Source organism: Homo sapiens, chromosome 6 (genome assembly GCF_000001405.40).
Source record: "Homo sapiens chromosome 6, GRCh38.p14 Primary Assembly".
Lineage (NCBI taxonomy): Eukaryota > Metazoa > Chordata > Mammalia > Primates > Hominidae > Homo > Homo sapiens.
In genome coordinates this window covers 69443895-69453261 of record NC_000006.12, presented here as the reverse complement: position 1 = coordinate 69453261, position 9367 = coordinate 69443895, and the positions used below count along the sequence as shown (strand labels likewise).

The 9367-nt window shown below is 42.4% G+C and overlaps 2 annotated features.

The window, feature by feature from the left end:
• Positions 7480–7987: an enhancer, noted in NCBI's record as "H3K4me1 hESC enhancer chr6:70155167-70155674 (GRCh37/hg19 assembly coordinates)". NCBI's record gives its function as "activates a minimal SCP1, AML or CMV promoter by ChIP-STARR-seq in naive H9 embryonic stem cells {active_cell/tissue: H9 hESC(naive)}" and the evidence as "EXISTENCE:reporter gene assay evidence [ECO:0000049][PMID:30033119]".
• Positions 7988–8497: an enhancer, noted in NCBI's record as "H3K4me1 hESC enhancer chr6:70154657-70155166 (GRCh37/hg19 assembly coordinates)". NCBI's record gives its function as "activates a minimal SCP1, AML or CMV promoter by ChIP-STARR-seq in naive H9 embryonic stem cells {active_cell/tissue: H9 hESC(naive)}" and the evidence as "EXISTENCE:reporter gene assay evidence [ECO:0000049][PMID:30033119]".

Sequence of the window (9367 nt, the reverse complement as noted above, 5' to 3'; positions counted from 1 at the left end):
AGAGCTGTGCATCTGACAAAGTTCTAATATCCATGATAGGGAATTTAACAAATTCAAAAGCAAAAAAACAAATAACCCCATTAAAAAGTGGGCAAAAGATGTGAACAGCCACTTTTCAAATGAAGACATACACGTGGCCAACAAGCATGTGAAAAAATGCTCTCTTTACATTTTTCAGGAATAAAATATATTGCGAATAACTATAGTTAACTCTTCTATACATTAGATTTCTTAAAAATTATTTCTCTCAACTATAATTATTCTATCCTTTGACCAACCTCTCTGCAATCTCATGTCCCCCAACCACCCTAGCCTCTGATAAACACCATTCTACTTTCTAGTTCTATGGGATCAACTTTTTTAGATTTCACATATGGGTGATATCATGTGCTATTTGCCTTTCTATTCCTGGTTTATTTCACTTAGTATAATGTATTCCAGATTTAGCCAGGTTGTCACAAATGGCAAGATTTCATTCATTTTTATAGCCGAATAGTATTCCATTGCACGTATAACCACATTTCCTTCATCCATTCATCTGTTGATGGATACATAGGTTGAATCCATATCTTGGCTATTGTGAATGTTGCTGAAATAAACTTAGATAGTGCAGATGATGGCAGCAGCATCCCGTCTGCAGTGGCCACTGCGAAGATGCTGGCTACAGTGGAGAAGGTGCAGCCAGGGCTGCGAGCTCCACAGAGCTAGCAGAAGCCCCGATCTCTTCTGAGTTGTGAGGGTGAGAGCCCCACCCTCCTGGGCACAGCTGTAGCCACCCAGCTCCTGCTGCAGACTGGGCTTTCCTGTGCTCTTGGGGGCCTGGGAAACCCCCCTGCCCCCACAGACTCAGAAATGCCTGGTCCTGCCACCCATCTTGTCCATACACTTGGGACAGTGCTGAGGTAACGCCTAAGGTTTTTGCCTAGCCACACCATAGAATTGGTGTGGCGGCTGACCATGGCGAGTGATGGAGACCCGGACCTATAGAGAGAAAAAGCTGTAGGCTTTATTGAGCAGAGTGAAAGTACAGAGCTTCCATAGTGTGGAAGGGGTCCAGAATGGGTAGCCAGAGTTAGATTATATGACTGCCTTGTAAACTTTTTAAGGCGGGAAATACGTGGGGCAGGAATATCTTACCAGAATGAGAAACAAAGGCAATTAACCATTTGTGACATGTCTTAGATCTTGAGGAAAACCAGAATTGCAACTTAGGTTTTATCTACTTTATGACCTTGCAGCAGCATGGCAATGGTGACAGGATCTTACAGGACTTTGTTACAAAGTACGTTTTCAAGGAATTGGAATTGGGATGATAGATAAAGTCCACTGGTCACAGAAAAACAGGCAGTTAACATTCTTTTTAGTTTAGTTTCAGAGGAGGAGGAAGGCCGGGGGGGGACACAGAGAAATTTACAGCAAAATTTTCACTGTTTATAGCTTTCTTGGGGAAGAAATCACATGCACAAATCCTGGTGTTAGGAATTTTTTAAGCATATATCTTCAATATTATTCATCCAGGACTGAAGTAAGCCCTGATGCAGGAAATGAGTGAGTTTCACAGCTTTCTGAGACCCTAGTCAACCCAGGAAGCCCAGGTGGCCCCACCCCGTCACTGCTCTGGGCTCTGATGAGCATGGGACGGAGGCAAAGGGGGAGTTGATGGTGCCTCAGCACAGGCCTGCAGGTACCCCTTGTTAGGAACAGTTTGGGCACTGGGGATGACAGGTTGATGGCAGTGAGAGGCAGAAAGGCTCCTGGGCTTAAAGGGACAGGTCCCAGCCAAGCCCCACCTTCAGGCCTAGGACTGATGGCCTGAAACCTAGGGGGTCAGGCTGCCAGTTCCCTGGACCAGAGTGAGAACTTAATGGGGCTTTTTCTAGGCCTGTCCATGGCCAGCTATGGACCAATAAGCACCCACTTCCTGCCCTCTGAAGCTCACAAAAAGCCCAGAGTTAGCCAAACTTTGGCAGACATCCCAACAATCTGCCTGCAGGGAGGAGCTAGGCACTGTGGGTCTCCTCTCAGCTGAGAGCTGAGCAGACATAGGGATGACCTGCCTGTGGAAAGGCTCCTGAGAGCTGTACTGTCACTCAATAAAACATCTCTTTGTCTCACTCACCCTCCAGTTGTCTGTGTACCTCATTCTTCCTGCACGTGGGACAAGAACGTAGGACCTACTGTGTCCAGAATTTGTGGGTTCTTGGTCTGCTGACTTCAAGAATTAAGCCGCAGACCCTCGCAGTGAGTGTTACAGTTCTTTAAGATGGTGTGTCTGGAGTTTGTTCCTTCTGACGTTGGGACATGTCCAGAGTTTCTTCCTTCTGGTGGGTTCGTGGTCTCACTGACTTCAGGAGTGAAGCTGCATACCTTTGCGGTGAGTGCTACAGTTCATAAAAGTGGCATGGACACAAAGAGTGTGCAGCAGCAAGATTTATTGCAAAAAGGGAAAGAACAAAGCTTCCACAACGTGGAAGAGGACAAAGTCAGTTGTCTCTGCTGGCTCAAGTGGCCTGCTTTTATTCCCTTATTTAGCCCCACCCACATCCTGCTGATTGGTCCATTTTACAGAGTGCTGATTGGTCCGTTTTTACAGAGTGCTGATGTTGTGTTTACAAAACTTTAGCTAGACACAGCACTGATTGATGCATTTACAATCCTTTAGCTAGACAGAAAAGTTCTCCAAGTCCCCTACCCCATTAGACACAAAGCACTGTTGGTGCATTTACAAACTTTTAGCTAGACACAGAGTGCTGATTGGTGCATTTACAATCCTTTGGCTAGACAGAAAAGTTCTCCAAGTCCCCACCGGACACAGAAGCCCAGGCAGCTTCACCTCTCACTGCCAAATGGTGGGACTGAAAGAGCTGTAACACAAACAGAGCTGAAACATGCCCCCTTCCTTGCCACTTTGCAGGTGACAAGATGGAGAGAAGAGAGAAGGAGAGAACTGTGACCCTTCTGGGAACCCAGACATAGGAGCTTCCTGAGCCAGGGCTGTGACGCCCTCTTTCGGGTTCTGCAGTTCCTGGCATCTGCAATCTTCCAGGCACCACTACCTTCCCCAGTGCCAGCAGTGGAAGCCACTTGGAATATGCCTGGTCTAGCCACATTCTTGCAGGGAGCCAGCACCCGTGCCGGCGCCTGGATCTGCCTGCTGTGTGCAGGTGCCAGACCCCATGCTTGCTCATTCACGCACTGCGCCTTTGCCACTCCATGCCTGGCTTGCCCTTGGCAGGCATAGGATCTGGGCCAATAGTGTGAGCTGATCACAGGCTGCCGGGCCAAGTGGGCAGAGCAAACCCAGTGGGCCTGAGCAAAACTTGGATAAAGGCACCACTAGCTACAAAGTTTTCTGGCTGGTGAAGTGACACCCCAAGGATCTTGTGACACAGATATCTTTTCAACATACTCATTTCATTTTCTCTGCATATATATTGAGTAGTGGGAGTGCTGGATCTTATGGTACTTCTGTTTTTAATTTTTTGAGCAATCTCCATACTGTTCTCCATAATGCTGCCATTGTAGGGTTCTTAATTGGCCTAATTTCTTTCTTTCTTTCTTTCTTTTTTTTTTTGAGATGGAGTCTTGCTCTGTCACCCAGGCTGGAGTGCAGTGGCGTGATCTTGGCTCACTGCAAGCTCCGCCTCCCAGGTTCACGCCATTTTCCTGCCTCAGCCACCCGAGTAGCTGGGACTACAGGTGCCCGCCACCACACCTGGATAATTTTTTGTGTTTTTAGTAGAGACAGGGTTTCACGGTGTTATTAATTGACCTAATTTCAATTATCTTGCATTTCAGGGAATAGAATGGTCTGAAAAGAGGGAGACATGATGGAATGACTGGTTGGTGGAACAGTCAAAACACACACAATATTTATCAATTAAGTTTGCCCCATTTTATAGGTGTGGTTCATGGTGCCCCAAAACAATTACAATAATAACATCAAAGATCACTCATCACAGATCACGCTTACAGATATAATAATAATAATCATATAGTGTGAAATATTGCAAGTATTAACAAAATGTGACACAGAGATATAAAGTGAACACATGCTGTTGGAAAAATGACACCAATATATTTGCTCAATGCCAGGTTGCCCCAAACCTTCAATTTGTAAAAAATGCAATATCTGCAAAGTGCTGATTGGTCCATTTTGCAAAGTGCAAAATGTTAAGTGCAGTGAAGCAATGTATACCTGTATTTGAGTCTTGTTGTTTAATCTATTCAGCTACTTAACGCTTTTTCATTGAAGAATTTAATCTATTTACATTTAAGGTAATTATCGATACGTAACGACCTATCACTGCCATTTTTTTAACTGTTTTCCAGTTGTTTTCTAGATCCTTTTTTCCCCCCTCCCTTACTATTTTCTTTTGTGGTTAAGTCATTTACTCTAGTAGTATGTTTTGATTCCTTGCTTTTTATTTCCAGTGTATCTATTATAGGTTTTTGCTTTGCGGTTACTGTTATGTTTACCAAAAACATAACAGGTTGTTTTAAACTGGTAACAACTTAACTTTGATCACAAAAGTAAACCTCTGCACTTTAACTCCACTCCCTCTCATAGTTTGAATTCTTTGTGTCACAATTTACAAACTTCTTATATTATACGTTCCTCAACCACTCGTTTTAGCTATTATTATTTTAAAATATTTTATCTTTTAATCTTCATACTAGAGAGATAGGTGGTTTACATAACACAATTACAATATTAGCATATTCTAAGTTTTACCATGTACTTACTTTTACCAGTGATCTTTATATTTACAAGGATTTTAATGTTACTCGTTAGCTTTTTTTTTTTTCAATTTGAAGAGCTTCCTTTAGCATTTCTTGTAAAATAGGAAAATAGGTCTGATGGTGATGAACTCCCTCAGCTTTTGTTTGTCTGGAATAGTCTTTATCTCCCTTTCATTTTTGAAGGATAGCTTTGCTTTACAGTATTCTTTGTTGGCAATTTTTTGCCTCTAAGACTTTGACTATATCATCTCACTCTCTTCAGGCCTGTAAGGTTTCTTTATTTTATTATTTTATTTGCAAAAGATAGTCTCGTTTTATTGTCCAGGCTGGAGTGTAGTGGTGTGACCTTGGCTCACTGCAACCTCCACCTCCCAGGTTCAAGTGATTCTTGTCCCTCAGCCTCCCAAGTAGTTGGGATTACAGGCATATGCCAACACACCCAACTAATTTTTAAATTATTTTTAGTAGAGATGGGGTTTTGCCATGTTGGCCAGGCTGGTATCAAACTCTTGGCCTCAAGTGATCTACCCACCTTGGCCTCCCAAAGTTCTGGGATTACAGGCATGAGTAACCATGCCTGTCCCTGGGCTGTAAGATTTCTGCTGAGACATATGCTGCTAGGTATATTGGAACTCCTCTACACGTTATTTGTTTTTCTCTCTTGCTGCTTTCAGGATGCTTTCTTTGTCTTTGAGTTTTGTCAGTTTAATTGTAACATGTCTTGGAGTAGCTTTATTTGAATTGAATTTGATTGATGGTCTTTGACATTTCTATACCTGGATATTTATCTTTTTCCAGATTTGGAAAAGTTTTGCTATTATTTCCTTAAATAAGCTTTCTACCCCCTTTGTCTTTCTCCACTCTCTCTTGAACTCAATGACTAGAAAATTTGCTCTTTTGGTGTTGTCCCATAAATCCCACCAGATATCTTTGTTCCTTTTCATTTTTTTTTCTTTTGTCTCCCTGTCTGTTTTCAAATAGTCTATCTTTAAGCTCACTGATTCTTTCTTCTGCTCAATTTGGCTATTAATGAAATATACTACATTTTTTATTTTGTTCATTGTATTTTTTTCATATATAGGATTTCTTTTTGATATTTTTATTATTTCAGTCTCTATTATATATCTCTGATAAATTTTTGAATTCTTTATTTATATTTTCTGGAACTTTACTGAATTTACTTTAAAAAGTTATTTTGAATTACTTGTTAGGCAGCTTGTACATCTTCGTCTCTTTAGGGTCAGTCATTGGCATATCATTTCGTTTGGTGAGGTCATATTTCCCTCATTGTTCCTGATACTTTTGGTTCTTCATAGATGTCTGCACATTGAATAGAAGGGTATTTATTTCATCTTTGCAGCCTGCCTCTGTCTGTGACTACTTTTCTACAGTAGACCTGACTAGAAACTTTGAGCAGACCATTTGTTTTGGTCTCCAAGCCTATCATTGCCATAGCCGTTGTAGCACTAGAGAGTGGTTTAAACCGGCATCTGCTATGGCCAGCAGCAAGGTTCACATGTTGATTGCTGTGGGCCCCACTCCCATTCTTCATTTAGAATTGACTCCTGGTCGACTAGCCCTGCTAACATTCCCAATATTTCCAGAGCGAGCCACCTGTAAAGTGTCACAGAATGGTGAGGAAGTCAAATGTCTTTCTCCAATTTACACTTTCCACTGTAGAAACCACCGTCAGTCCAGAAGAATTCTCCACAAGTGGCACTGTATGTGCTTAGAGGAGGGGTGTGATGATTAAGGAGAACTATTTCCCTTACTCTCTGATTGCTATTTTTCTTGGCTCCATTGATCCAAGGGAATATCACAGCTTTACTTCGAAGTTCTGGGATATTCAGGATGGTAATCTTGACTTTAGATAGTTGCTAGTTTTATTTTCTTGGTGGGGAACAGAAACCAGAGAACTCCTACTTTGCAATTTTGTTGATGTCATTTTTCAGTATGTTTCCTGGCTTCACATCTAGAGCCTTCCTAAAGGTGGCATTGGCAACATTCCTACAATTATTGATGAGTCCACTCAAGTTTGATTCAGATTTCACTCCCAGTGTTATTACTCTTGATTTCTTTGGTGCACTTCCATATTTGTTGGCCAATTTTTTCTTTCTAGTATCTATTTTTGTAATATGTCTCATGGATTTAAAACTGAGAGACAAGTAGGCAACATAAGCACATGCTTTGCTATGTCAGAACTGAATTTTTATGCAATGAACAATCACCAATAAACTTTGATAAAAGTGACATGATTGGTCATGGATCATGATGCACCTAGTGATTTGTGGAGTGAAAATCTAGCAGTGAAGCACTTTATGTGATTACTCACAGTTAATATGCCATGGGAACTAAAATTTGAATGGTATTATCGACAGGCTGATGTTATTTAATGAATCTGTAGCAACTAGAATTTTTGCAAGGCAAGAAGAACAGGTTCTGAATCAAAATTATGGTCTCAAAACTTAGGTAAGAGGAAGCAAAAGTCTGTAGAAAAATCGGAGCTGCTTTTAAACTTCGGGTGACATAATTGTTCTAAATTATTTTATCAGTAGCTGTGAGCTGAAGAACAAATAATTTTTGTGGCAGTACAATTCAAAAGATTGAGTTGCATTAATAGAGATGATACACACGTGGACTATAGCTTATATGAACCAAAACTGACATCAGAGTAAGCTGATTGATGTATTTATGGCAATAAAAATAGTTGCTTGTCTCTGAATCATGAGAAGGAAAGAAGGAAAATAGTTGGAAAAAACGGTGGGGTGATTCTGAACATCATAAGAAAAGTACAGATACTCTGATTTCAACAATCCAATGTTAAAGGCTGATTACATTAAAATTTTCTTCCATAACTTATTTTTCTTTTGTAGTACAGTAAATTATTTTTTCAGGGTCTACATATTATGCCAAAATAGAACATACTTTAAAAAAATTTAGTGGTGATTCAGGGGGAGGAGCCAAGATGGTCGAATAGGAACAGCTCCGGTCTACAGCCCCCAGCGTGAGCGACGCAGAAGATGGGTGATTTCTGCATTTCCATCTGAGGTACTGGGTTCATCTCACTGGGGAATGTCAGACAGTGGGCGCAGGTCAGTGGGTGGGCGCACCTTGCACAAGCTGAAGCAGGGCGAGGCATTGCCTCACTCGGGAAGCACAAGGGGTCAGGGAGTTCCCTTTCCTAGTCAAAGAAAGGGGTGACGGAAGGCACCTGGAAAATCAGGCCACTCCCACCCGAATACTGCGCTTTTCTGACGGGCTTAAAAAACGGCGCACCATGAGATTATATCCTGCACTTGGCTCGGAGGGTCCTACGACCACGGAGTCTCGCTGATTGCTAGCACAGCAGTCTGAGACCAAACTGCAAGGTGGCAGCGAGGCTGGGGGAGGGGTGCCCGCCATTGCCCAGGCTTGCTTAGGTAAACAAAGCAGCCCAGAAGCTCCAACTGGGTGGAGCCCACCACAGTTCAAGGAGGCCTGCCTGCTTCTGTAGGCTCCACCTCTGGGGGCAGGGAACAGAAAAACAAAAAGACAGCAATAACCTCTGCAGACTTAAATGTCCCTGTCTGACAGCTTTGAAGAGAGCAGTGGTTCTCCCAGTACACAGCTGGAGATCTGAGAAGGGGTAGACTGCCTCCTCAAATGGGTGCCTGACCCCTGACCCCCGAGCAGCCTAACTGGGAGGCACCCCCCAACAGGGGCACACTGACACCTCACACAGCAGGGTACTCCAACAGACCTGCAGCTGAGGGTCCTGTCTGTTAGAAGGAAAACTAACAAACAGAAAGGACATTCACACCAAAAAACCATCTGTACATCACCATCATCAAAGACCAAAAGTAGATAAAACCACAAAGATGGGGAAAAAACAGAATAGAAAAGCTGGAAACTCTAAAAAGCAGAGCACCTCTCCTCCTCCAAAGGAATGCAGTTCCTCACCAGCAACGGAACAAAGCTGGATGGAGAATGACTTTGATGAGTTGAGAGAAGAAGGCTTCAGATGATCAAATTACTCTGAGCTATGGTAGGACATTCAAACCAAAGGCAAAGAAGTTGAAAACTTTGAAAAAAATTTAGAAGAATGTATAACGAGAATAACCAATACAGAGAAGTGCTTAAAGGAGCTGATGGAGATGAAAACCAAGGCTCGAGAACTACGTGAAGAATGCAGAAGCCTCAGGAGCCGATGCGATCAACTGGAAGAAAGGGTATCAGCAATGGAAGATGAAATGAATGAAATGAAGCAAGAAGGGAAGTTTAGAAAAAAAAGAACAAAAAGAAATGAGCAGAGCCTCCAAGAAATATGGGACTATGTGAAAAGACCAAATCTACGTCTGATTGGTGTACCTGAAAGTGACGGGGAGAATGGAACCAAGTTGGAAAACACTCTGCAGGATATTATCCAGGAGAACTTCCCCAATCTAGCAAGGAAGGCCAACGTTCAGATTCAGGAAATACAGAGAACGCCACAAAGATACTCCTCCAGAAGAGCAACTCCAAGACACATAATTGTCAGATTCACCAAAGTTGAAATGAAGGAAAAAATGTTAAGGGCAGCCAGAGAGAAAGGTTGGGTTACCCTCAAAGGGAAGCCCATCAGACTAACAGCAGATCTCTTGGCAGA